At 42.8% G+C, this 27,698-nt stretch overlaps 2 protein-coding genes across 2 annotated transcripts in view, besides 1 other annotated feature; both read left to right on the top strand.

Annotated features, from left to right (window-relative positions):
• The window catches only part of RPS10-NUDT3 (RPS10-NUDT3 readthrough), a 138,876-nt gene extending 119,756 nt beyond the window's left edge, over positions 1-19,120 (top strand). Inside the window, exons 7-9 of the mRNA NM_001202470.3 lie at positions 10,629-10,673; positions 12,779-12,863; positions 17,383-19,120. Coding sequence (NP_001189399.1) covers positions 10,629-10,673; positions 12,779-12,863; positions 17,383-17,561 — 309 coding nt within the window. The 3' untranslated portion in view covers positions 17,562-19,120. The remainder of the gene's footprint in view (positions 1-10,628; positions 10,674-12,778; positions 12,864-17,382) is intronic.
• Positions 1-26,635, top strand: part of NUDT3 (nudix hydrolase 3) — a 112,991-nt gene extending 86,356 nt beyond the window's left edge. Inside the window, exons 3-5 of the mRNA NM_006703.4 lie at positions 10,629-10,673; positions 12,779-12,863; positions 17,383-26,635. Of these exons, the coding sequence (NP_006694.1) occupies positions 10,629-10,673; positions 12,779-12,863; positions 17,383-17,561 (309 nt within the window). The 3' untranslated portion in view covers positions 17,562-26,635. The remainder of the gene's footprint in view (positions 1-10,628; positions 10,674-12,778; positions 12,864-17,382) is intronic.
• Positions 5,839-5,978: an enhancer, noted in NCBI's record as "active region_24380". NCBI's record gives its function as "activates an Ori minimal core promoter by ATAC-STARR-seq in GM12878 lymphoblastoid cells {active_cell/tissue: GM12878}" and the evidence as "EXISTENCE:reporter gene assay evidence [ECO:0000049][PMID:35858748]".
• Positions 26,636-27,698: the final 1,063 nt, after the last annotated feature.

The following is a 27,698-nucleotide window of genomic DNA, read 5'->3' as shown; positions in this document are numbered from 1 at the left end:
AGCTGCTTATCACAAAGCTTGCTACACAGGAAGTAAATGTAAGGACTGCCAAGACAGTATGGTAGTCATGAACTTAATGTACACCTAGTAAACCTCCATCAATATAAAGTAAAAATTATCAGAGTTACGGGGAAAGTCAACTCAATAGCCATATTGAAGACTTCAAAACATCTCATTTTGTGCTTGATAGTCCCTATGAAGAACAATAAAATCTCATTTAGAAAGTGATTGAAAAGTGGCAAACAGAAAAATAGAGGTTAAATAACACCATTAACAAGATTGAGCACATAGATATGTTGAGAGAGAAGCTTCCACCCAACAAAGAATACGTAATTTTTTCAAGCATGCATGGAAGGATAAGAACATAACCACATGTTAAGTTGTACAGGAATGGTTAAAAATTCCAGAGCATCATCAGTATTATAGACTGTATATACTCTGATAGAATGCAGTAGAATTAGAAACCAACAACAGAGCCAGCTTGAAAGAGAGAGAAACACAGGTTTGGAAACAAAAAAATGTTCTAAATAATCCATGAGTTAAAGCACAAATCATCATAGAAATAAGCAAATAGAGCAGAAGAGCTGTGAAAGCACTTCACATCATGACTTACGGGATACAGCTCAGTCAGTTCTTTGATGCTTAGATGCTTATATTAGAAAGTTAAATGGACGTTAAGTAAATTGAGCAATCAACTCAAGAAGCTGGAAAAAACAAGAGCAAGCCCAAAGGAAGTAAAGGGACAGAAATAACAAGGAAAGGGGTAGAAATTAATAGAAAAATAGAAATGACCAACAAAACCAAAAGTGGGTTATTTTTATTTGTCTAATAAAATAGATAAACTTCTGGCAAGACTGATAAATAGGAAGACAGAAATAAATGAAGAACAAAAAAGGGAAATAACCACAGATTTATAATAGAGGTTTTTAAATTATAAGAATGTTACAAAGAGCTACAAACAGAAAGATCTGAAAACTTTCATAGAAATTTTCCAGAAAATCCTACCCAAATTTACTTTTAAAATAATTCAGGCTGGGCGTGGTGGCTCACACGCCTATAATCCCAGCACTTTGGGAGGCCAAGGCGAGTGGATCACTTGAAGTCAGGAGTTCGAGACCAGCCTGCCAACATGGTAAAACCCCATCTCTACTAAAAATTAAAAAATTAGCCAGGCATGGTGGCACGTGCCTGTAGTCCCAGCTACTAGGGAGACTGAGGCAGGAGAACTGATTGAACCTGGAAGATGGAGGTTGCAGTGAGCCAGTATCACGCCATTGCTCTCCTGCCTGGGTGACAGAGCAAGACTCTGTCTCAAAAAAAAAAAAAAAAAAAAAAAAATTCAGACCGGGCACAGTGGCTCATGCCTATAATCCCAGCACTTTGGGAGGCGAGGGCAGGAGGATCACTTGAGCCCAGGAGTTCAAGACCAACCTGGGCAATATAGTGAGACCTCATCTCTACCAAAAAAAAAAAAAAAAAGTTTTTAATTAGCTGGGCATGATGGTGCACCCTGTTGTCCCAGCTACTCAGGAGGCTGAGGTGGGAGGATTGCTTCAGCCTGGGTAGTCAAGGCTGCAGTGAGCCATGATCTGCGCCACTGCACTCCAGACTGGGAGACAGAGTAAGAGCCTTTCTCCAAAAAAACAAAAAAAAAAAGGAAAAAGAAAAATTTGAAAACCTACACATAGATCATTAGTCCTTAAATTAAGTAGTAATCACCTTCCTTCCTGCCAAAAAATACCAAGATCAGACTAGATTAATTTTACTAAAATTTTAAAATATGTATATTCTTGAAGACTATTTAGAGGAGGATAGTTACATACCTTTTGTAAGACTGGTAAGATCTTGATTAATGATTAGCAAACTCTTCCTTTCCTTTTTCCTTTCTTTTCCTTTCCTTTCCTTTCCTTCTTTCGATATGGGGTCTCACTATGTTGCCCAGGCTGGTCTTGAACTCCTGGGCTCACAGTCTTTCCACCTTAGCCTCCCAAAGTGCTAGGATTACAGGTATGAGCCACCATGCCCAGCGATAGCAAACTTTCTTTTTTTTTTTTTTTTTTTTGAGACAGAGTTTCACTCTTGTCACCCAGGCTGGAGTACAGTGGCGTAATCAGCTCACTGCAACCTCTGCATCCCAGGTTCAAGTGGTTCTCCTCCTTCAGCCTCCCGAGTAGCTGGGATTACAGGCATGCGCCACGACACCCAGCTGATTTTGTACTTTTAGTAGAGATGGGGGTTTCACCATGTTGGCCAGGCTACTCTCGAACTCCTGACCTCTGGTAATCCACCTGCCTCGGCTTTCCAGAGTGCTGAGATCACAGGCATGAGCCACTGCGCCTGGCCTCGTAGCAGACTTTCTATAAAGGGCCAGATAGTAAATGTTTTAGGCTTTAGAATTCATATGGTATCTGTTTTAGCCACTCAGCTCTCCTATTGTGATGTGAAAGCAGCCGTAGACAATACTTAAACGAATGACACAGCTATGTTCCAGTAAAACTTTATTTACAAAAACTGATGGCAGGATGGATTTGGCCTGTAAGCTGTAGTTTGCTGACCCCTGATCTCGATAATTAAACTAGAAAAGAACAGTAAATTGTCATTTATGAATGAGAATTTGCACAAATTCTAAGTAAAAATTTATTAAAATTCAGCATCTATTCATTATAAAAACTGTTAGCAAGCTAAAAACAAAAGGAACTTCCTTAACCTGATAGAGTATCTAATAAAACCAATAGCAAACATCGTATTTTTGAAATGTTCAAAGCATTCCCATGACAGATAAGAATAAGACAGTTATGCTTGCTATTATGCTAACATTTAATATTGAACTGTGATCCTAGCCACTGCAATTAAGACAAGAAAAATAAATACAAATTGTAAAGATTCCAGAGACAAAATTGTCCTTATTTACAGAAGATGTGATTATTAACTTAGAAAACGAAAGAAAAACAACAGGAACTATTATTAATAGAATTAGTGAACACATTTAGAAGGACTGCAAGAGATAAGATTGATATCTAAGAAAACCAGCTGAATATTTCTGGTTCTGACTAGCCTGGGCAACATAATGAGAACCCCAATTCTACAAAAAAAAAAAAAAAAAAAAAAAAAAAAAATTGCCAGGTATGGTGACACGCATCTGTGATCCGCGTTACTCAGGAGGCCGAGGAGGGAGGATCACTTGAGCCCAGCAGGTCAAGGCTGCAGTAAGCTGTGTTTGCACCACTGCCAAAATATCTGAAAAAACTGATTTTTGGCATTTATATGGATGGATAAAGGTACAAAAATGGCTTAGAAGTTTTTGTTAAAGAAGAGCAGAGAAGGGTATTCCAAGTATTAAGATAAAGTTGTATTAGTTAAAATCATATGCATATGCTATTAGTACATAAATTAACAACTAAATTAGTAAAACAGTAATATCTGTGGCTCTATTCTGGAGTCTCTAGACCATTGGCTATTTGGAAATAAATTACAGATGGATCGTACGATAAAACTCTCAGATAATTAGAAAAGATATGTGACTGTAATTTTATGCCATAGGAATAGGGATGTGTTTTTTTGTTTTTTGTTTTGTTTTTTTGAGACGGAGTCTCTCGCTCTGTCACCCAGGCTGGAGTGCAGTGGCGCAATCTTGGCTCACTGCAATCTCCGCCTCCCAGGTTCAAGCAATTCTCCTGCCTCAGCCTCCCGAGTAACTGGGACTACAGGCACACGCCACCATGCTCGGCTAATTTTTTGTATTTTAGTAGAGACTGGTTTCACCATATTGCCCAGGCTGGTCTGAAACTCCTGAGCTGAGGCAATCTGCCCACCTCGGCCTCCCAAAGTGCTGGGATTACAGGCATGAGCCACCGCACCCGGCCATGGATGTGTTTCTTAAACAAGATAACTAACACAAAAGGTAAAGATAAGTAAAATAAACTGTGTCTAATAAAATATGCTCAGCAAAGAACATTGAAAACAAGGGTAAAAGACAAGTGCCAGATTGGGAGAAAATATTTGCCACAGAGCATAAGTATCAAGAAGGAAGCTGAAATGGAAGAATTGCCTGAGCCCAGCAGTTTGAGACCAGCCTGGGCAACATGGCAAAACCTCATCTCTACCAAAAAAAAAAAAAAGCCAGTTGTGATGGCACGTGCCTGTAGTCCCAGCTACTCAGGAGGCTGAGGCAGGAGGATCGCTTGAGCCTGGGAGGTCAAGGCTGCAGTGAGCCATGATTGCACCACTGTACTCCTGCCTGGGCTACAGAGACTGGTCTCAAAATAAATAAATAAATAAATAAAGATACAAAGAACTGCAGATTCATTATGATGGTCACTTGTCAAATAAGGCTGTGAATATATAATGCCCCTAAGAGGAAATCTGAATGTTCACTGAAGTAGGAAAAAGTGCACAATTTCAGTTAAAAAATAATGTAATGCAATTTCACACTCATATTGACCCAGAAGTGGGGAGGGAAAATGGCTAACAACAAATACTAAATATTGAAGAGGAACAAGAGTGATGGCAACTCATACACTGCCTGTGTACTTTGGAGAGTGTATCAGTTTGCTGTATAACAAACTATTCCAAAATGCAGTGGCTTAAAATAGTACTTATTACTCCTTACAAGCCAAGGTCAACTTCTGGTGTCAGCTGGACTATTCAGATGTCTGCAGCTAGCTCTGAGTTGAGTAGGCAACTCTGCTGATCTTGGCTATGCTCTCACACAGTTTGGAGGTTAGCTGGCTGTAGGCCACTCAGCCTAGACAGCTGTGGTCTTTCATCCTTTAGGAGCCTAAGCTCAGGCTTATTCATATGCCGATGGCAGAGTTCCAGGAGGAAAAGTGGAAACTACAAGGCCTCTTGAGGCCTAGGCTTGGACCTGGTAAACCATTCTTCTACATTCTGTTGGCCGAAGACACAAGGCAAGTCTAGATATAGGGATGGGTAAGTAGATTCTATCCCTTGATGGGAAGAGCTGCAGAATTAATGTCAAAGGATATGGATGTAGGGAGAGGTGGAGAATGGTCACTATCTCTGCAGTTGATCTACCAAAAGAGACCAACTTGAAAATATCTGGAGGTACTTATCCTCTGTGACTGAGAAATTTGACTTTTAGTATAAATCTTCGAGAAACTCTTTCACTTGGTAACAAGGAGATAGATTAGATCTACAAGTAAACTGACAAGGGAGTAGATTAATAAATTATGGTAAATTCCTAAAATAGATAACTGTTCAACAATTAAAATGAATTACCTAGAACTACATGTGTCAATATAGCTAAAACTCTGAAACATAATATTGAGGGAAAAAGTTATAGAAGGTAAAATACCTTTTTTAAATTCAGTAGAGAAACTTGCAGCAAATACTGTTAATAGTGGATACATACCCAAGTAGTAAAAGTATAAAAACATGCAAGAGAATAATAAACACCATTTTCAGGTGAGTAGTTGTCTCTTGCAGGGAGTGGGGAATACAGTTCTTGGTCTTCTCAGAGAGCTGCCTTTTAAATCAAGGGAAGAAGTAGCAGGAACCTTTCAGCTACGAATAATAACAGAACACCTGACTAAAAGTGGCTTCAGCATCATCAGTTATGTGGGAAACATGAAAGCCCCAGACACTGGCCATTATTACTTCATTGCTTCACAGCATCAGGGCACTGGGTCAGCTTCTTACTAGATTTCTTTGGCCTTCCCCTTATGATCAGATGATGGTAGCAGCTCCAGCTTTCACATCCCCACTTGACAAGGAAGTACAGGGTTTCTTTTTGTGCAGTCTTTTTATCGTGGTGGGAAATCTTTTCCAGAAGTCCCTGAGAGACAGCCTCTAAGGAGCTGTTGAACATACAGCACCTCTGAACTAGTCCCTGCAGAGGGGAGCAGAATTTCCTGTGCCTTGCTTAGGCATACCATCTCAAAGTACACCACAACCCCCACCTGGACAGAATCTGGGTCTCCCTGGTAGCAGCAAGGGAAGGGGAATGCCTGTGGGCTGGGCAAACCTCATTGTCGGTCAAAATGTCCACTGTAGAGTGAAAAGCTGGTTTCAGAAGATGACGGTCCACTTGTGCCAACAAAGTCAGGATTCCTTGTGGTAGATTGTTTTAGGCACAGGTTCAAAGGGCCATCACCCACATTAGTGCCTCTACCTAAGCTTTTGTACATACACAGGGAGACTGCCACAGAGCAAGATCGGATCCAGCCCTTTCCAGAGAAATACCTCAATCCCAGTAGAACACCTCATAGGAAAAGAGACACTTGTGTTTTTTTCTCTTAAAAAAGCAGGGCCGGGCAGGTGGCTCACACCTGTAATCCCAGCAGTTTGGGAGACCAAGGTGGGAGGATTGCTTGAGACCAGGATATCAAGACCAGCCTGGGTGACACAGCGAAACCCTGTCTCTCAAAAATAAAAAAAATATTTTTTTTTTTTTTGAGACAGTCTCACTGTGTCACCCAGGCTGGAGTGCAGTGTCACAATCTTGGCTCACTGCAGTGTCTGCCTCCTGGGTTCAAGTGATTCTCCTGCCTCACCCACCTGAATAGCTGGGATTATGGGCACCCACCACGCCCGGGTAATTTTTGTGTTTTTAGTAGAGATGGGGTTTTGCCGTGTTGGCCAGGCTGGTCTTGAACTCCTGACCTCAGGTGATCCACCTGCCTCAGTCTCCCAAAGTGCTGGGATTATAGGCGTGAGTCACCACACCTGGACTTTAAAAAAAAAAAAAAAAAAAATTCAAGAAAATACCCGGTCTTGGTGGCACATGCCTATAGCCCCAGCTACTTGGGAGGCTAAGACAGGAGGATCACTTGAGCCCAGGAGTTCAAGGCTGCAGTGAGCTATGACCATGCGCCCTAGCCTGGGCGACAGAGTGAGACCCTGTCTCTTAAAAAAAAGAAAAAGGGTAGGCAATTGTTCAGATTATTTTTGTTAACCAGGCCTAAAGTACTAGAAAAGGGTGAAAGAATTATCTCTACTAAGATGGACTTTTAAATAAAGACTCCCTCTCTAGATTAGTGGCTTTTGACATATAGATTGAAATTGTAACTGCTTTCGTATAATTTTGCAAAAGACAGATCCATACCAGCATCCTGATGGGACCAAATTTAATATACCCTTGAATTCAATCTTATCCCCAAATGTGTGAGCCAAATATCTGTCAGATGTGGCCCTGACACATATCCCGACCTGCATGCAGGAATCATGTGACAGATAAAAATAACCCACTCTCAGATTGCTTGTGGCAGCATTTGAGAAAAAACTAGGAGATGAAAGTTGGACTCTGAGTCTGGGAAAATTGTGAAAAAGTAAGATAGTTAAGGTAAGCTGTCTGGGAGAACCTTTGCCTGTGAGAAATTTTTCTTTTTTGTCAGCACTATGACTTTAAAGAACTGAAATCCTTTTACTAAAGGGGGGACCTCTTCCTGAGAAAAGTGCTGAATTCCAATTTTTAAAATTGGTAAATAGGGAAATATTTATTTGCTTTATACTATAGAATTATTGGTAAGATCACATTAAATAGAATTCTGCTAATTAGATCCCATAAATATTATGAAAGAAAGGCTAAGGGACAAATAAAAAGTATCATTAGCCATGTGTGGTGGCATGCACCTGTAATCCCAGCTACTCAGGAGGCTGAGGCAGGAGAATTGCTTGATCCCAGGAGTTTGAGGCCGGCTGGGCAACATAGACACCATCTCTTTAAACAAACAAACATCATTAGTTTCTACATTCTACAAGGTGAAAGACTAATTAGAAGTGAAAAATACCACTGAAATGTTGGTGTACAAATGGCAGCATAATTTGATTTACACTAGATTTTACACATTTGTGTCTATTTCAAATAGGTACTTTTACATTTTTCTTAACTGCATCTGACACAGAGTGAATCACAGATATATGTTGGTGTCGAAAGCAGAGGTTACTATTATTAAACGAAATTTTGTGTTTTGAAGTTATTTTGTTTTGTTTTTTTGAGACAAGATGTCTCTGTTGCCCAGGCTGGAAGTACAGTGGTGCAGTCATGGCTCACTGCAGCCTTGACTTCCTGAGCTGGGGTGATCCTCCCACTTCAGCCTCCTGAGTAGCTGGGACTATGGGCATGTGCCACCATCCCCAGCTAATTTTTTGTATTTTGTAGAGATGGGGTTTCACCTTATTGCCCAGGCTGGTCTCGAACTCTTGGGCTCAAGCAGTCCACCTACCTCGGCCTCCCAAAGTGCTGGGATTACAGGCTTGAGCCACCGTGCCCAGCCAAACAAGTTTTAAATTAATTATATTGAGTTGTCATAATGTTAAGTTGATTTGTGCCCTAAAAGTTTGGAGATTGTTTCATAAACTTCTAGTTTAAGAAAAAAATATTGGATAGTAGCTGCTAAAGAGACTACTTTCTCCTTTGTGGAGGAGAAAGGTGAATGATGGCCTCTTAAATCTTTTCTTGGGCCGGGTGCAGTGGCTCACACCTGTAATCCCAGCACTTTGGGAGGCTGAGGCGGGCAGATCATGAGGTCAGGAGTTCAAGACCAGCCTGGCCAATATGATGAAACCCCGTCTCTACTAAAAAAAAAAAAAAAATTATATATATATATATATATATATATATATTTTTTTTTTTTTACATTAGCCGGGTGTAGTGATGTGCACCTGTAGGACACCTGTGGTGCCAGCTACTCAGGAGGCTGAGGCAAGAGAATCGCTTGAACCTGGGAGACGGAGGTTGTAGTGAGCCGAGATCATGCCACTGCACTCCAGCCTGGGCGACAAGAGTTAAAAAAAAAAAAAAAACAATGACTTTTCTTACCTCTGTCCCCCAAGGCTCTCATCTGCCCCAACAGCTCTCCTTCCAGACCCTCAGTGGAGGCTTGTGGCAGGAGCACAGGTGACATGTCTCAGGAGATGAGCAGAGTGTGTTCAGGCTGCCTGGGATCAGAGTACAGAACTGCCTTTCCAACCCAGGCTGGCCTGGCAGCTTGTCCCACTTGTCAGGCAGCTTCACTGGTTAATTCATGAAGTATAAGCTAGCTAGTTTTAGCTGGCTGTGGAGGGCAGTTATTTATAAAAATGTAGAGAAGCAAGTTACTGTTTTCTTATTTAAGAAAAGGCAGGCCAGGCGCGGTGACTCACGCCTGTAATCCCAGCACTTTGGGAGACTGAGATGGGCGGATCACGAGGTCAGGAGATCGAGACCATCCTGGCTAACATGGTGAAACCCTGTCTCTACTAAAAAATAGAAAAAATTAGCCGGGCGTGGTGGCGGGCACCTGTAGTCCCAGCTACTTGGGAGGCTGAGGTGGGAGAATCGCTTGAACCCGGGAGATGGATGTTGCAGTGAGCCAAAATCACACCACTGCACTCCAGCCTGGGTGACAGAGCGAGACTGTCTCAAAAAAAAAAAAAAAAGGTCTAACCACTGAAGTTATCCCTCTTCCTGCCACTCCTTGTCATCACATCACTCTGTGTATTTCTGTCATGATACTTACCCGTAGCAGAATTACCATGTTTATGTTCTTGTTCATCTAGGCTTTCTTGAGTTCTTGCAGGGTGCCAAACTCTCTTCCACCATATTGTATACAGACAGCCAAGTCAGAGCAGGGTCTTAATCCCATGGGATCTTGCGTTCTAGCCTATTCACTGTTACATCGCTGGCACATATACTGTTTTCTGGTTCAAATTAGGCATTTAGTATGTATTTGTTGAATGAATAAGTGAATGAAGTAATCTATGTATGTATGTATGCGTGTATGTATGTATGTATGTATTTACCGACAGGGTCTGGCTCTGTCACCCAGGCTGGAGTGCAGTGGTGTGATCTCGGCTCACTGCAGCCTCCACCTCCTGGACCCAAACAACCCTCCCACCTCAGCCTCCCGAGTAGCTGGGACTACAGGCATGCACCATCACACCCAACTAATTTTTGTATTTTTTGTAGAGACAGGGTTTCACCATGTTGCCCAGCCTGGTCTCGAACTCCTGAGCTCAAGTGATCCACCCGCCTCAGCTTCCCAAAGTGCTGGGATTACAGGCATGAGCCATAGTACCCAACCAATTAATTAATTTATTTATTTTTGAGACATGGTCTCACTTTGTCACCCAGGCTGGAGTGCAGTGGTGCAATCATAGCTCATTGCAACCTTGAACTCCTGGGCTCAGGTGATCCTCTCACCTTAGCCTCCCCAGTAGCTGGGACTATAGCCACATGCTGCCATGACTGGCTAATTTAAAAACAAATTTTTAGAGGCAGGATCTTGCTATGTTGACCAAACTGATCTTGAACTCTTATCCTCAAGCGATCCTCCCAATTCAGCCTCCCAGAGTGGCAGTGCCTGGCCTGAAGTAATCAATACCTCAGAATATTTTTGGTGTGGTGGCTTCATGGCCTGATGATCTTGCTCTGCTTGGCTAGCTTTGCAGTAGGGAGAGAGACCAGAAGAAATGAAAGGCATTCTAACTTCCCAGAGCATACACAGCTGTTAGCAGGTTAGTAGTCGGTGACACACAGGAAACACTGGTATCACTTCACAGATCGTGGAGTCTGCCCAAGCTGTGTCCTCTTGTTTTTTGTTTCTATTTTATAAACTGCTTAAGAAGACTCAGAATGAGACCAGCAATATAATACTATCAGTGCATTAATTGTTCTTTTCACTTTCTAGGCTGGAGTAAAAGGGACATTGGGAAGATTAGTTGGAATTTTTGAGGTAAGTCTGTTAAAATCTTTGGTACAAATGATATGTATTAATAACCACACAGATATTAACATAGGAAAAATGCCATTTCTGTTTCAGCGAGTTTTTTTTTTTTTAGTTATTTTTAACTTTTTGAGACAAGGTCTCACTCTCGCCCAGGCTGGAGTGCAGTGGCACAGTCATAGCTCACTGCAGCCTTGAACTCCTGGGCTCAAGCAGTCTTCTGCATCAGCCTCCCAGGTAGGTGAGACTACATGGATACACCACCATCCTTCTAAATTTTTAAATTTTTTGTAGAGACAGGGTCTTGCCATGTTGCCCAGGCTGGTCTCAAACTCCTGCGTTTAAGCGATCCTCCTGCCTCAGCCTCCCAAAATGCCAGGATTACAGGCTTCAGCCACCATGCCCAACCTCGGTGAGTTTTTTAAAGAAAGCAACACCAACAGAGAATAACATGCTTTAAAAAAAAAAGAAAGAAAGAAGGAAATCCCATAGTCTTGTCCCCTAAACTACTAGAATTATTTTTAAATATTATTTTACCCCATTCCTACTTTTCTTTGTCTCCTACCAAGGTAGGAGGAAAGGTAGCTAAGTGTAGAGAGAGAGAAGAAAAATAGAAGATAAGTAACTATAACAAAGAGAGGAAAAACAAGGAAATAAGCTGTGATACAAATTTGAAAGAAGGCAGGGAAAAGTGAGAAATCAGGAGAAATCAAGATGAGCAGATGCTGGGCGTGGTGGCTCACACCTATAATCCCAGCGTTTTGGGAAGCTGACACAGGAAGATCTCTTGAGGGTAGAAGTTCAAGACCAACCTGAGCAACAGAGTGAGACTCTATCTCTACAAAAAGTTTACAAAATAAAAATGTCAGAAGAAAGGTCTCTGATGAAAAAATAGATATGTAAATAAATCTTTTTTTTTTTTTTGAGACAGAGTCTTGCTCTGTCACCCAGGCTGGAGTGCAATGGTGCGATGTCGGCTCACCACAACCTCCGCCTCCCAGGTTCAAGTGATTCTCCTGCCTCAGTCTCCCAAGTAGCTGAGATTACAAGTGCCCGCCACCACATCTGGCCAGTTTTTGTATTTTTAGTAGAGACAGGTTTCACCATGTTGGCCAGGCTGGTCTGGAACTCCTGACCTCAGGTGATCCACCCACCTTGGCCTCCCATAGTGCTGGAATTACAAGCATGAGCCACCGCCCCTGGCAATAAATAAATTTTTTTAAAAGGTGGCTGGGCACTGTGGCTCATGCCTGTAATCCCAGCATTTTGGGAGGCCAAAGTGGGAGGATCACTTGAGCCTAGGAGTTTAAGACCAGCCTGGGCAACATGGTGAAATCCTGTCTCTACAAAAAAATACAAAAATTGGCTGGGTGTGGTGGCTCACATATGTAATCCCAGCACTTTCCCAGGCCTAGGCATGCGGATCACTTGAGGTCAGGAGTTTGAGACCAGCCTGGCCAACATGGTGAAACCCTGTCTCTACTAAAAATACAAAAATTAGCAGGGCATGGTGATGTGCACCTGTACCAGCTACTCAAGAAGCTGAGGTGAGAAGATCACCTAAGCTCAGGAAGGTCAAGGCTGTGGTGAGCCATGATCATGCCACTGCGCTCTACCGTAGGTGACAAAGTAAGGCTCTCTCTCAAAAAATAAGGTAAGTGGGGTTAGTGGGAAAAGGGGTGTGGGTGGGAAGAGGGGTGTGGGTGGGTGTGTGTGTGTGTCACACTCAGCTTGTTTGCCTTGCTGGGGTCACTGAAGTTTGAGACCTCTGTGGTAGCCCACCCATCCACAGTCCTCTCCCTGGTGGTCTAGCTAGTTAAATTTACATGATGCCTTTTTCTTCTCATAGTATTCCTGTTAAGTTGTATTTAGGGGAAGGGGAGGAAAAACCAATATAATTACTTGGTTTTAGAAGTCCAGCCAAAGAGCACACCCTCAAATTCAAGTGTGGCCTGCTTTAAATCATGTAGCTATAACTGTAGGACCATAAAAAGTAAAAGTTTAGAATCTTTGTGTCTGAGCTCTCTGGACATATGCATAAGAGTGTGTTTCATTTAAGTAATTCCAGCTTTCTAAGGAAAAACTCTCTCTATCCTTCTCTCTTTGCCCTTCAGAACCAGGAGAGGAAGCACAGGACGTATGTCTATGTGCTCATTGTCACTGAAGTGCTGGAAGACTGGGAAGATTCAGTTAACATTGGTAAGCCATCTCCAGACAGCCTGGAAAGGGTTCCTCACAACCAGCCCTTGCCATGCCACAGGTCATGACCAGAACCAGAAACAAGAGCGTACCAGGCTCAGTGGCTCACACCTATAACCCCAGTACTTTGGAAGGCCAACACAGGAGGATCACCTGAGCCCAGAGTTCTAGACCAGTCTTGGCAACCTAGTAAGACCTCATCTCTACAAAAATCAGAAGACTTAGCTCGGCGTGGTGGCACATGCCTGTGGTCGCAGCTTCTCAGGAGGCTGAAGCAGGAAGATCATTTGTGCTTGGGAGTTTGAGGTCACATTGAGCCATAATCATGCCACTGCACTCCAGCCTAGGCAACAGAGTGAGACTCTGTCTCAAAAACAAACAAAAAAACAGAACAACAAGAGCTGGATAAAGAATAGAAATAATTGAAGGATGTGTATAATAAAACAAGCATGTACATTTTGAACCTGATAGTATTTTGAAATGTTTAAATGGAATCTGAAGTGAGTACATGGTCCACAAATAGAAGCATGACCCCTAAAAATAAGAAATGTTGCTTCTAAAATCAAACTGGGTCCTTGCCAAAAGGGCTATACTTCTGCACCTCCTGAGCAGATACTGATTGAGGGCCTCCGCCATGCCAGGCTCACTGCTGGCCATGGGGACCATAAGTGAGAGCAGGACCCTGGTCTTGTTCCTCATGACATTTATATTGTTGAGAAAACTGTTGGTTTGGTGGTGTGAGTCCCTCCAGAAATCATTTAGTAGATACAGAATAGTGCAGGTGGTTTCTAGTTTTATTCTTATAAAATATGAATATATCTATAATATATATTTTTATATTTTTTCATATTTTATATGAATATAAAAATGATAAAATTTATGAACTTTTACAAAAGGTGCTGTGTGTACCCTTTAGGTACACCCAACTTTCTCCCAAAGGAGCCATTTTCTTTGATCTCAGATGGCTGTTACGTTTACATCTTTGGAACTATAAACTGTGGTGGTACAAAGGTTGGTTCATGGTTTGATTGTTTACTTCTGAAGGAAAGTGTATTCTAGAAAGGAGAACACTAATTTCCATTACAAATTGGCAGACAGATAAAATTTATTTGCCAACATTCTCACTTTAATGTTAGTGTTTGCCTTGCCGCCATGCCCCTCACATTGTTACTCTGGGCAGTTCGTAGCCCTTTGGCTCTTGATGGCTTTGTGTCTAGTAATAATGCAGGGTGCTCAAGGAAATAAATTCAGTGTGGATATACTGAAAACAGACTCCCTAACAGGTGTGCTAGAGCTTGAAAAGGAGACTGCGGTGGATGTGTGGTGTGGCCCTATCCTCAGAGCACTCTCTGTCAGGCAGGAGTCATACACTTGTGATACTAATTTTTTTAGGTACCATTGCTCTATTAATATTCAAACAAGCCTTTCACCTTGTACTCCCACTTCTGAGAATTGACCCTAATGAAATAATCTAAAATATGACAAGCTATGGAGCCTTCCTTCAGATGATCTTACTACCATTATTCTTACTGGTTAAAATTTGCATCTTAAATGTATAACTCAATGAATGACAAATCAATGAATGACATGTGTCCGATGGAATGTTATACAGCTGTTAAACACCATAGTTTAACACCACCCTGTTAAACTGCAGTTGCAGTGGCTCACGCCTGTAATCCCAGCGCTTTGGGAGGCTGAGGCAGGCGAATCACTTGAGGTCAGGAGTTCGAGACCAGCCTGGCCAACATGGTGAAACCCCATCTCTACTAAAAATACAAAAATTAGCCAGGCATGGTGGCACACACCTGTAATTTCAGCTACTCAGGAAGCTGAGGCAGGAGAATAACTTGAACCTAGGAGGTGGAGGTTGCAGTGAGCCAAGAATACACCAATGCACTCCAGCCTGGGCAACAGATAAGACTGTTTCAAAAAAAAAAATTTTTGTCAATGTTAAAGAAAAGCTAATATTGGCAGGAATGTGGTGAGACTGACATCCTGACATACACAAGCAGGACTGGGGATCAGTGTCGCCTTTCTGTAAAGCACTTTTGCAGTATAAATCAGGAGCCCTTGAAAGTTCAGAAGCTCTATTTTTGTAGTTCTTGTGCTAGATATCTTTCCCTAGAAGGTTAAAAAGAAAGAAAAAACGGGGAACGTTTTAAAAAAATAGCATTATTTATAATAATTAAAATCACTGGGCATGGTGGATCACGTTTGTAATCCCAGCACTTTGGGAGGCCAAGGCGGGTGAATCACTTGAGGTCAGGAGTTCGAGACCAGCCTGTCCAACATGCTGAAACCCCATCTCTACTAAAAATACAAAAATTAGCTGGGCGTGGTGGTGTGCACCTGTAGTCCCAGCTACTTGGGGGCTGAGGCAGGAGAATTGCTTGAACCCGGGAGGCGGAGATTGCAGTGAGCTAAGATAACGCCACTGCACTCCAGCCTGCATGACGGAGTGAGCCTCCGTCTCAATAAATAAACAAAAATTAGCTGGGTGTGGTTGTGGGCGCCTGTAATCCCAGCTACTTGAGAGGCTGAGCCATGAGAATTGCTTGAGCCTGGGAGGCAGAGGTTGCAGTGAGCCGGGATCACATCGCTGTACTCCAGCCTGGGTGACAGACTGAGACTCTGTCTCAATAATAATAATAATAATAATCACAGACAATTGATGTCCAGTGATATGGAAATGCTTAAGTGAATGATAATACATCCATACTAGATACTATGACATAATGCAGCCATAAATGTCTTAAAAAAAAAGACAGTCTCACTCTGTTGTCCAGACTGGAGTACAGTGGCATGATCACAGCTCACTGCAGCCTCAACCTCCTGGGTTCAAGCAGTCCTCCTGCCTTAGCCTTTCTAGCAATGGCAATGTCTCATATTTTTTTCATAATATAGATTGCTTAAGAAATAGTGTGACATAGGACAGGTGTGGTGGCTCATGCCTGTAATTCCAAGTACTTTGGGAGGCTAAGGCAGGAGGATCACTTGAGGCCAGGAATTTGAGACCTCATTTATACCAAAAAAAAAAAAAAAAAAAAAAGAAGCAGCAGCAGGTGTGGCACGTGCTTGTAGTCCTAGCTACTTGGAAGGCTGGGGCAGGAAGATCCCTCGTGTTCGGGAGCTTGAGTTTGCAGTGAACTATGATCATACCACTGCAATCCAGCCTGTGAGATCCTATCTCTGGAAAAAAAAAAAAGAGAGAAAGAAAAAGAAAAGAAAAAATAACATGAAGTAAAAACCAGTAACAAAAATTAAAAAGCAAATTCAGCAGCACATTCTTTTAGCAGCCAGTTACTCTTCAGGTGCTTTCCATACTAATAGTCATAACAGACTTGTGAGATAGGCCCTATTTATTGTCTGTTTTATAGATGAGGAAAATGGAGCAGGAACACAGCTACCTGAGGCTGCACAGCTCATTGGAGCCATTTATGTGATTGGAGCCCAGCACTTTGGCTTCAGAGTCCTTGTTCCTGACCATAACACTCTAGCAGAGCTGGTCAGGATTCAGAGTACCTGAAAGCATGATCCAATTTTGGTTGTCTCAAGATTGTTTCTTTTTCAAGTATATGAAAAAAGGGCAGTTGTGCTAGGGTATTGAGAGTGGTTTTTTCTGGTTTATAAGATTATGGGTAGTTATTACTTTTATAAGATAAAAAATATAAAGGATTTTAAAGCATGGACTAGAAAAGAGTAAGAAAATAGACTGAAAAATAAAAGTGTGATTGTATTGAGATTATTTTTACTTCTTTTAAGAAATATTTTCTATTATGTAGATAAATTCACTCTTATAAGAAAACTTTTAAATGAATTACTGATTACAAACCAGCCATCCTAGTAATTCTGGAAGCTGATGCTCGTGTTGATTTTTCCCCCCTTGGGACAGGGTCTCACTCTGTCACCCTGCTGGAGTGCAGTGGCGCGATGACAGCTCACTGCAGCCGCGACCTTCCGGGCTCAGGTGATCCTCCCACCTCAGCCTCCTGGGTAGCTGGGAGTACAGGCACATGCTACCATGCCCAGCTAATTTTTGTATTTTTTGTAGAGACAGAGTTTTGCCATGTTGCTCAGGCCAGTCTCAAACTCCTGGGCTCAAGCGATCCGCCCACCTTAGCCTCCTAAAGTGCTGGGATTGTAGGCGTGAGCCACCTCATCCGGCCCTCATGTCAGTTTTTACAGGAGATGGGGATGCTGCTGGGCTTTGATCCCTATGTATGTGCAAGCAAGGAAAGCTCAGAGACGCAGGAGGGCAGGAGGAAAACACTAGCCGTAGTTCTCTCTGGAGGGCAGGTTTTACACAATTACTCTTAGCTCTTTGGTTTTCAGGTTTCTCACCTTTCTGCATTAGACATTGATATAATATTTGAAGCATATGAAGTGTGCTTGAGTTATTTTTGTAAGGAAAAAAAGTGTTAAGAAACATTGCTTTAATGTTTTCTATATTTTCTCAAAAGTTCTAGGCTCAGAAACCTTATTACTCTTGTACTAGTTTCTTTTCTCTCTGCCTCCACAGGAAGGAAGAGGGAATGGTTTAAAATAGAAGACGCCATAAAAGTGCTGCAGTATCACAAACCCGTGCAGGCATCATATTTTGAAACATTGAGGCAAGGCTACTCAGCCAACAATGGCACCCCAGTCGTGGCCACCACATACTCGGTTTCTGCTCAGAGCTCGATGTCAGGCATCAGATGACTGAAGACTTCCTGTAAGAGAAATGGAAATTGGAAACTAGACTGAAGTGCAAATCTTCCCTCTCACCCTGGCTCTTTCCACTTCTCACAGGCCTCCTCTTTCAAATAAGGCATGGTGGGCAGCAAAGAAAGGGTGTATTGATAATGTTGCTGTTTGGTGTTAAGTGATGGGGCTTTTTCTTCTGTTTTTATTGAGGGTGGGGGTTGGGTGTGTAATTTGTAAGTACTTTTGTGCATGATCTGTCCCTCCCTCTTCCCACCCCTGCAGTCCTCTGAAGAGAGGCCAACAGCCTTCCCCTGCCTTGGATTCTGAAGTGTTCCTGTTTGTCTTATCCTGGCCCTGGCCAGACGTTTTCTTTGATTTTTAATTTTTTTTTTTTATTAAAAGATACCAGTATGAGATGAAAACTTCCAATAATTTGTCCTATAATGTGCTGTACAGTTCAGTAGAGTGGTCACTTTCACTGCAGTATACATTTATCTACACATTATATATCGGACATATAATATGTAAATAAATGACTTCTAGAAAGAGAAATTTGTTTAATTTTTCAAGGTTTTTTTCTCTTTTAATTTGGGCATTTCTAGAATTGAGAGCCTCACAATTAACATACCTTTTTGTTTTCGATGCTAGTGGCTGGGCAGGTTGCCCTGTCCTTTCTCTATTTCCCAGTCATTGACTGTAGATATGGGAAGAGTTTAGCTACCTTCATAGTGCTCCCAGGACTCATGGCCTTTCCTTCTTTAAGCTGTATTTCCCTGCCCAGAAAGAAACAGGAAGAAACCTTTTTTTATTTTTTTATTTTTTTTTAACCAAGCAAGGAGCAAATGGCCTCAGCCCAGATCTGTAAAAACAATGATAGAAATTGAATTCTGCCCCACATGTTGACAGTAGAGTTGGAACTGGATTCTTGGGATTACTTATCTAAAAAACTGGAGCATCAGGTCCATTTCTGTTCTGCTGGTTTGGAATCTTTTCCGTAATGCTATTTATTGCCAACAATGGCCTCTCTTTGTGTCCATATATGCCTTACACCGTGCTGACCTGGGTATCATCCATGTGCTCTGAAGCATCCAACTTTACTTTGCAGGTGCATCAATGTAGTCCTGTCCCTGAACTGAGTAACCGTGTTCCTGAAAAGTACACTAGGGAAATTCACCTGCTTGCTTGTCTTTGTATTGGCATGGCACTTGTGATTGCACCATGGAGCATGCTCAGAGCTATTAAATTGGTCTCCCATCTCCCACCAGGATATGAAAGGTCCATATGGGAGGCCACGTAATCACTTATTACAGTGGTTACATAATACACTGGCTCACTGCAGACTCTCTTGTTTTTTGATACAGTTTCGTGCTGGCTTCATTTGCCAATTGTGTTGTTTAGTTCGGAAGTAAGAGGGTCTTGAGATTGAGGGGTAGGGAGGGCTACACTGACTGATCCGTGGCTTAAGACAGGAGATTATCTCTGTACTCCAGTGGCATCTCCTTAGCCAAGATGTGAAATTAAAATCATAGTTCGCCTCATTTAAAAATTCTAATAAAGCACTCAAACTTTGAAAAGCTTTTACTTTTCCCTCCTACTAAAAGAAATGTATGTACCTCATAGCCCTGTGTCATTTAGTGTTCAGCACTTTTGGGAACATCAGTTGGTGAACTTTAAATTTTGCTGTCTACTCACTGGGCACGGTGGCTCACACCTGTAATCCCAGCACTTTGGGAGGCTGAGGCAGGTGGATCACCTGAGGTCAGGAGTTTGAGACCAGCCTGACCAACATGGTGAAACCCCGTCTCTACTAAAAATGCAGAAATTAGGTGGGCGCCTGTAATCCCAGCTACTTGGGAGGCTGAGGCGAGATAATCGCTTGAACCTGGGAGGCAGAGGTTGCAGTGAGCCGAGATTGCACCACTGTCGTCCAGCCTGGGTGATAAGAGTGAAACTCCATCTCAAAAAAAAAAAAAAAAAATTTTTTTTTTTTTTTTTGCTATATACTCTTAGTTTACATCCTCTCCCCCAATCTTCACACACAGAGCCAAAGAGCAGTTATATTCTTGGGATACCATGATACCTCTGGGAAAGGAATTATATTCCCAAGGAGAGGTCCCATTGGATAAGAACAATACCATGGGACTTGAGTCTGAATGCCAACTTACTATTCACACATCCTTCTTAAAAACGAACACACTGTTTCTTTTCCTGACCTAGAGCATTCTAAAGTTCTGTTCAAATAAATAAAGGGCAAAATAAAGTAGATTTAACCAAGTGCCAGGTGGAATTCAAAAAACACATTCTTCCAGATAAATTCTACCTTTATGGTATGGATTTGAAAGTACTTTGCAGGAAAACAGTCAGTACTCTTTAAAAAGGGACTGCAGGGCTGGGTGTAGTGGCTCACACCTGTAATCCCAGCACTTTGGGAGGCCAAGGCAGGTGGGTCACTTGAGGCCAGGAGTTTGAGACCAGCCTGACCAACATGGCAAAACCCCATCTCTACTAAAATACAAAAATTAGCTGGGCATGATGGTGCACTCCTGTAATCCCAGCTACTTGGTAGGCTGAAGCATGAGAATTGCTTAAACCTGGGAGGCAGAGGTTGCAGTAAGCCAAGATCATGCCACTGCACTCCAGCCTGGGCAACAGAGTAAGACTCTGTCTTAATAAATAAATAAGAAAATAAAACGGAACTGCAGTGCTAACAGTAATTTATACATTTTTAAATGTTCTGAGTATGTTTTGACTGGGCTAGTGTAACAATATACTACCCTGAAAGTGCAGTTTTGATTGTTGTTGGTGTCTTTGGGTCAGGAAAGTGAACTGTGCCAAGAAGTATTTTTCAGTGACATGAATGGATTCCTGTTAATGCAATTGACTGAGAGATTGTGCTTACGCTTTCTTAACTGACAAAAAGAGGCTTTGTCCAACATCAGAATTGTTGAAACTGGTGCTGTTTTCTGTTGCACTGGGATTCTGATGATCTGGGATTTTCCCTCCTTGGCACAGTAAACACCATGACTGTCTTTATTGAGAATGTCGTCACAGTCCTTTAGTGATAGATTAGTTAGACCCATGGTTGCAATACCTTTATCTCCCCAAAGAAAATAATCAAAAGAAAGCACAAAAGCTACCCTGTTTGCAGAATATTTCACTGACATTGATTTGTCATTAATTCTACCAGAGCTGACCTCATTCAGGCTTGATAGAAACAGGTTCCTATGTTTAGGGCAGATCCCTAGCCTCTCGCTCACAGTGAGTCTGCATGTCCTAGATTCTGGTTATTGCTGGAGCATCCATTAAAGTCTACCAAACTCAGGACAGAAGAAGATAGCAGTGGATTTGTAAAAATTTTTAGTTTATAAATTACAGTCATTGGGGAAACACTAGTAAGGTCATGTGATCTTTTGGACCAGGATTTTCTCTCTGTCTTCTCTCTGGGTGTGTGTGTGTGTATGTACAGAAGGGCTACCAGGAAGTGTCAACCATGTTAGATTTTCTGTAGTCTTCCAGAAACAGTGCAGCCCATACAACAGGAATCTTAATTTTCCTCACAGCAAATATAACAGGATGGAACAGTTAGTGTTTTGTTTTCACAAGTGTCCACCACTCCATCTGCCCTGCATGGAGAGGGCTCTCTCACTGCTAGATCTAGGCTGAGCCATCTGGAAGGATCAAAGGGTGTGGGAGTATCACCCCCTCTCAGGCTGCAGAAGGTCTCGAGGGTGGCGTCACAGCAGGATTTCCGCCTTCTGCATTGCACTGCACAGCCCCATGGAACATGAGGCACTTGAGGCCTTGCTTCTTGGAGCCTCTGGGGAGCAGAGTAGGTCACTGCCCTCTGGGAGTGTTTTGCAGTAGTTTTGTAAATGTGTTGCTACATAGTCAAGTTCCTTTGTGGCAAAGAAATATTTTGTTTTGATATTAGGAGCCAGCCCATGTAATGCCTCTCAGGCTTGCTTGCTTAGAAGAAAAAAGTCACCCTTTGTGGTTTTTAAGAAAAAAATTCTGTGCAGATCTGTTCCTCCTCCTGCTCCTTCCCTTTTCTCTACATACAGTGCTCATTGGAGGCTCCTGCTAAACCTTCTTAACCAGAGAAATAATAGGTATTTGTTAGACCTGAGTGTACATTTCACATGTTATCCTTCACATATTTCTCATTTTCATCTAGTACTTTCTTAATGCCTTTGTTGGAGTCCGCATCCTCATCTTTAAAAAAAAAAAAAAAAAAACAGCTTAGCCTAAGCCACATTCACTTTTTTTAGTTCACAAAAAGGATTTAATAGCCACAATGTGATTTTTGCCACAACTGTGTGATTTTAATATTCTCTAATATCAAGGGCGGATTTAGAATTGCAGGAAATACCTGGAGAAATCACAGTGGAATGAATTTTTGCTTTAAGAGAAATGAGAGTTGGCTGTCTCTGTAATTGATAATACAGCTTCATCCTAGTCCCATCTGCATTTCAGAAAATAACCCTCATCTTTACAAAACACAGGACACTTGTGGGACAGTTAACTCAAGCAGCTATGGGGAGGGAGGAGATTATTGAATGGTGATTAAATAATGCAAATGGCTCTTCTGTTTCTTAAAGACTGTGGAAGAGGTCAGACTGCCCAGTTGAGGTGGGCAGTTCATACTGCTCAGTTGAGGTGGCAGTCATTTATTCTGAGTCCTGTTGGATAGAGCCTATCTCCTCAAGGCTACAGAGGCTTCCAGGATATGGAGCTGTGCATGTTAATGGCTCAGCCTTGCCTCCATCAGGGCACCTGCCTAACTTGGAGCAAGTGGGAGAGCACCCTAGAGTCATCCTCTGTGCTGTTTCGTGAGTTTTGCAGCGGAGACTTCACCATCCGGAGGAGCTGTGTTTCTGTGTCACTTGGGATATCACCTAAAAATGAAACATTTGATATTTTAAGGTATAAAAAAAAAGTAAATTGGGGAACATTGGCTGCAGTCCCTAAAAGATACTGTTGTCTGTGCATCAGGTTAGCTTGAGGTCACCACAGGTCCTGGGAGCCCAGAGAGTTTAGGCATACTCTCCTTTGGAGGCCAGCAGCCTTTCACAAACCCTGCCTCTAAAAGGGCGGTTTCACATTTGACCATGTTTTTGCATTAGCCTCAGAAACTCTTGTCTTTAGCTGATAACCTTTGAGGGATGTGAGAAGCCTAGTTGGAGCATCTGAGAAAATGATACCTCTCACCTTCAAATTAATCAAATAGTTTGTCCTTCTAGTCCCCTTATAAATTAATAAATGGAGGGCTGGTCATGGTGGCTCACGCCTGTAATCCCAGCACTTTGGGAGGCCGAGGCGGGTGGATCACAAGGTCAGGAGTTCAAGACCAGCCTGACCAATATGGTGAAACCCCATCTCTACTAAAAATACAAAAATTAGCCAGGTGTAGTGGCACGCTCCTGTAGTCCCAGCTACTCGGGAGGCTGAGGCAGGAGAATCGCTTGAACCCAGGAGGTGGATGTTGCAGTGAGCCGAGATCCCGCCACTGCACTGCAGCCTAGGCGACAGAGCAAGACTCCGTCTCAAAAAAAAAAAAAAAAAAAAGAAAAGGGAAGGGAATCCCATTTTGTGATGATTTGGGCACACTACTTGAGCTGAGGCTAGCAGTCACATGATTTTGGCTGTCTCTGACCTGAAGCTTTTGAAGTAAGGTTATGTCTCTTCCCTGAAGCTTTGTTTATAGTGGTAATTTGGTGAGTTTGAGCTTTGAGCTTGTCTTAGAAAATAAGACTGTCCACCTGGGGAGGGGAGCTTATAGGGAACCCGTGTTAACTCAGAATGCTGAAGAAAGTGCTTTTAGCCAACAAAAGTAAGATTACTATCTAGAAGGTGGAAAGAAGTCATTGCTTCTGTTCCTCCAGCAGTCAGTTGACTCTAGGTTTCCTTTGGTTTATATCCCCAGTTCTTAATACTAAAACTTATTTGACTTCCTATCAGGAAGCACACAAAAAAAGCGTCATTTAAAACCCTGGATATAGGCTTTAAAGGATACAAAAACAGCAGCATTGTCGTTTTGCCAGGTTCATCACCATTTTGATGTGCTACCCATCCTTCCACCCTCCCTTTCCTGCCCCCAAGCCTCCCAGCCAGGCCAGATGTGAAGATTCTATTAATCACTGTTTCAGAGAACATTAATTCTTGTATAGAATAATTATCTACTAAATTGCTTATTATCTGTGACTACCTTGCAGAGAACATCTCAACAGTGCAGTAAAATAGCTCTCCTAGACTTGAGCTTCCAGCCAGGCATTTAGATCACTCTTAAGCCTTTGTGGAATTCTGAGGAAAAAAAGCAAGATGCCTCAATGCCAATGCTGGGCCATAAGATTCTACTCCCCTCCCTGTAGGGTGGGGCGCGTGGCTCAGCTTTGGAAAATCATTTTGCCAGTAATATTGCCTGTGAATCCCTTTAAGAAGTCGTCCTGATCTGAGCCTGTCTTTCTGAGCACTTTGGTGCTGAATTGAAAATGGTAAGCTAAAGCAGTGACAGATCCACGTAGCCTCTTTAACCTCTTTATTATCTTGCCAAAAAAAAAGTTTCTCAGGTTAAACCTTTGTCTTTAACCTCCCTTTGTTGTGGAGAAAATGTGTCACTAATCAGTGGTCCAAGGGATATCTAGCTTTGGTTACTCAGTTCCTGCAGCATAACAGATATGACTTATGCCAGGGAAGGTAGAGGCTGATTATGGAGACACCCAGGAACAGGAATAAGAAGGGATAGGTCTGCTCCACGTAGAACCTCCCCAGATCGGAAGTTAAGTCTTGGAGAGTTTCCAAAGTGCTGAAGTAAAAAGGAGACTTGGAGGGCCTTTGCTTAATGAGCAAGAGGCTTGTGTCCTCCCAAGAACATGAGGGAGTTCAGAAGGGAGCTATAGCTCACAGACAGAAACCTGCCCGCTCACCCCATCCCTCGTGACTGGGAGCATGTTTGCTCAGAATTTTCTAAGAGGACTCTCCCTTCAAAAATCCAATTTGCTCCCAGAATGTTGTTTAGCCTCTGAGAATCTCACTCTTTCATTTCCATCTGTGAATGGACATAGATGTGTTGCTCAGGGATCAGAAACATCAGAGTCCAGGGCCCAGTGGCATGGTGTTGCATTAGTAGTTAGAAAAGTAATTGGTCAGCTCTACTGTAAAAGAAATAAGTATGTAGTACAGTTTTGTAAATGTCAGGTCTGTTCTATTGTTTTGTGATCTGAAGACTGTCAAACTGGTTGATAATCAAAGAAAAGGTTGGTGGTTAGAATAAGTAAAATTTCAGTTAGAAAGATATAGCTTACCAGTTTTCCATGTGCTTAAGGAAGTCAAGAATATTTCAGGTTGTTGAGAACTGTTGTAAAATGGAATTGAAGCTAGTGTCTCTCACCTTCTTAGGTGTATCAGAGAGAGGAAGTGGAAGGCCAGTAGTAGCATCTTCATACTTACTTTTGCCAGCCCAGCCTCCATTTCAAAGACTTTGTCTTCCATCCTATCCAATGACATGGTCAGGGATGGGCTCTGAGGAGGCAGTGAGGCCCCACCTTGGTTTGCTCCACTGTGGTGTGTAGTCTCCAAACAGCTTAAGGGTTTTTAAGTTTTCTCACGATTACCTCCACTCCACTCATCTACTATCAGCATCAGAAAGGTTAACATCCCTGGGACCATTCTACTTATAAAAGAGATGAACTAGTGTGCTTTCTCCCCTTTTCCAGGTGTGCCATCCATATACAATCTCCTCTTGGCCAAGTTCAACAAATGTTTCCAGGGAACCCCGTGGGTTGAGGCAAAGTAGCCAAGATGTATTGAGTTAAGTTTTTCTAGAGGACAAAAGTATTTCTTGTCCCTTTTCCCTCATGCTCATATGTTTTAGCTGAGGCGTAAATGGCCAAGTTGAGTAATATCTGTGGAACTGAGACAGAGAGCCAGGGACCCATGTACCCAGGGACCAGTCCCCTGGGGAATCACACAGTGGCTCAGACTAGACTGCTCTATCCCACCAGAACTCTGCTGCTGTTCATTTCCATCAGGACCACCCAGGAAAGCAAATAAGTTAGCCTTCTCATCATTAGGTCACCTAATCTCTTGGGTTGCAGGATGAGAGCATATATAGATCTCCTGTTTAGAGAGTGTGTTCATAATTGTAGAAAGGGATAGAAAATGGAATAACCAAGAGGCTGTGTCATTTTTTAAGAGGATGGCAAGGATGACCTCAAATGAGCTCAACAAAACTGGGAATCCAAGGAATGGTGCTTGTAGGGAAAGAGAGGTCAGTTGTGGTCCTTAAACCTCTTGGCACCTTGTGCGGGTTATAAAACAAGGAGCTGGAGTAAAATTGCCCTTACCCCCAATCCAAATGCTGTCCAGGATTTAGGAGCTACCCAACCTGTGGTTATATGGTGTTGGTTTCCATTTTTTGTTTGTTTGCTTGTTTCCAAAATAGCCTTGCTTGGTACTGCATGGAAAGTTCAAGCTTTTCTTCTTGCCCGCTCAGGGCTGGCCTCTTCCCCGTGTCTTCACAGCGTCCCTAAGGAAGATTTTTGCAGCACTCTCTGGAGCTGAGGGGAGTGAAATTTGGTCCAGAGAAGGCGGAAGGAAATAGTTTTCCTGTTTCCTTTTCTCGAGGTGGATGTCCTCAGGCTTCCTTCACACCTCCTTCTCATGGGTGCGGCTGGCAGTACAGTCAGGCTGTGGAGGAGGGCTGAGAAGAAAGGGGCACTGGTCCAGCCCCAGGTTTGGTCTGAGACAGGTACACAGCAGATACCATCCCACCTTCCTCTCTAAAGAACAGGCCAGCCACACATATAACCCTTTCCCTACTTTACTAATGTATCCCTTATGTGGTACCAGCAATGGAGGACAGGCAGACTTACCCCCTGCCATCTAGAGAGAATGTTGTTATTACCCGTAAAACTTGACCACCCCCATATCCCACTCCTTTTTGTAAAAACAAATGCTTAAACCTGTGAGCCTGCCGTTCCTTTCTATGTGTTAATCAGTTTCCTTCCATTTGAGCTGTGTGGGAGGGAAGGGCATTGAAATTGTAGGTTGTAATCTTGTGCCAACCAATAAAAACCAGTATTTCACACACATCCCTTTTAGTGTCTGGTCTCTTCTTTCCAGAGGCTTCCCTTGAGTCCTTCATGTCAGCCTTTTGGTTTCCCCCACTCCTCTGCTAGATTCTTGGGAATTGCCCTAGAGGTCAAGGGTGACCCCATGGAAGATTTGGTGTGCAGGGCATTCAGGTGAGAAACGCAGTGGAGAAAGCCAGAGGCTATTAAAATCAGCATGTTGTTGTATCTTGCCGTCCTTGCTACCAGGTGCCGAGACAGAGCCCTGGTTAGACGGTCAGTGCCCACTGCTGAGGAGAGGGCCTGTACCCCTTAGCCAGGGAGGCTTTCTAGGGGACCCAAAGGAGTTGGAAGGGGTAAGAGGTGAGCCACATCCAGAATAAGGAAGCATCACAAGAAGTTGCTTTCTTCTGTGTGGGGTGGAATCAGGAAGGGCGGAGCCATTTTTGAAGCTGTGAGTGGTAGGGCTTGCAGGCCGAGAATGGGTGGGCATCATCAGTGGGAGAGCAGCATTAAGTGAGCTCTGTTCCCTGGTCCCAAAATGGAAGGAACAGTTTGAGCTGTAATGGAAAACAAAAACTGATGAGATCAAATTATGGAAAGCAACAAAAGCCAGTCCAGAGAGTTTGGTTTTATGCATGGGCGTGGTCCTGAACAGGGCAATCATGTGGTATCAACCATGTCTGAGCAGGAGCCAGCAGGAGAGTTTGGAGTGGAGCAGTCTGGAAGCTGTTGTGATACCATGCTTGAGGCTCTGCAGACGCAAGGAGTGCAGTGGAAGTGCAGAGGGGGATATAGAAACAAGAATGAACAGCGTATCACAGAGAAACACCCATCCTCCGAGACAAGCTGGCTTCTCTAGGATGGGACTCTGTTGGCATCACCACTGGTCAAGTATTTTAAGCCAAGAAACCTGATGGGATCAGTGGGAGAGAGTCAATTCCAGGAACAAGACTCACAAATCTAATTCATAAGAGACTAATGTATGTGCCCAGATGCTAATCGGTTCATTTATATGATGATAAACATCAAAGTTACCTGGTTTGTGTACTGGCTGGCTGTATGGGAAGCAAAAAATAGGCAG

The sequence above is a fragment of the Homo sapiens genome, chromosome 6 (genome assembly GCF_000001405.40).
Source record: "Homo sapiens chromosome 6, GRCh38.p14 Primary Assembly".
NCBI classification, from domain to species: Eukaryota; Metazoa; Chordata; class Mammalia; order Primates; family Hominidae; genus Homo; species Homo sapiens.
This window is presented reverse-complemented; position numbering and strand designations above follow the sequence as displayed.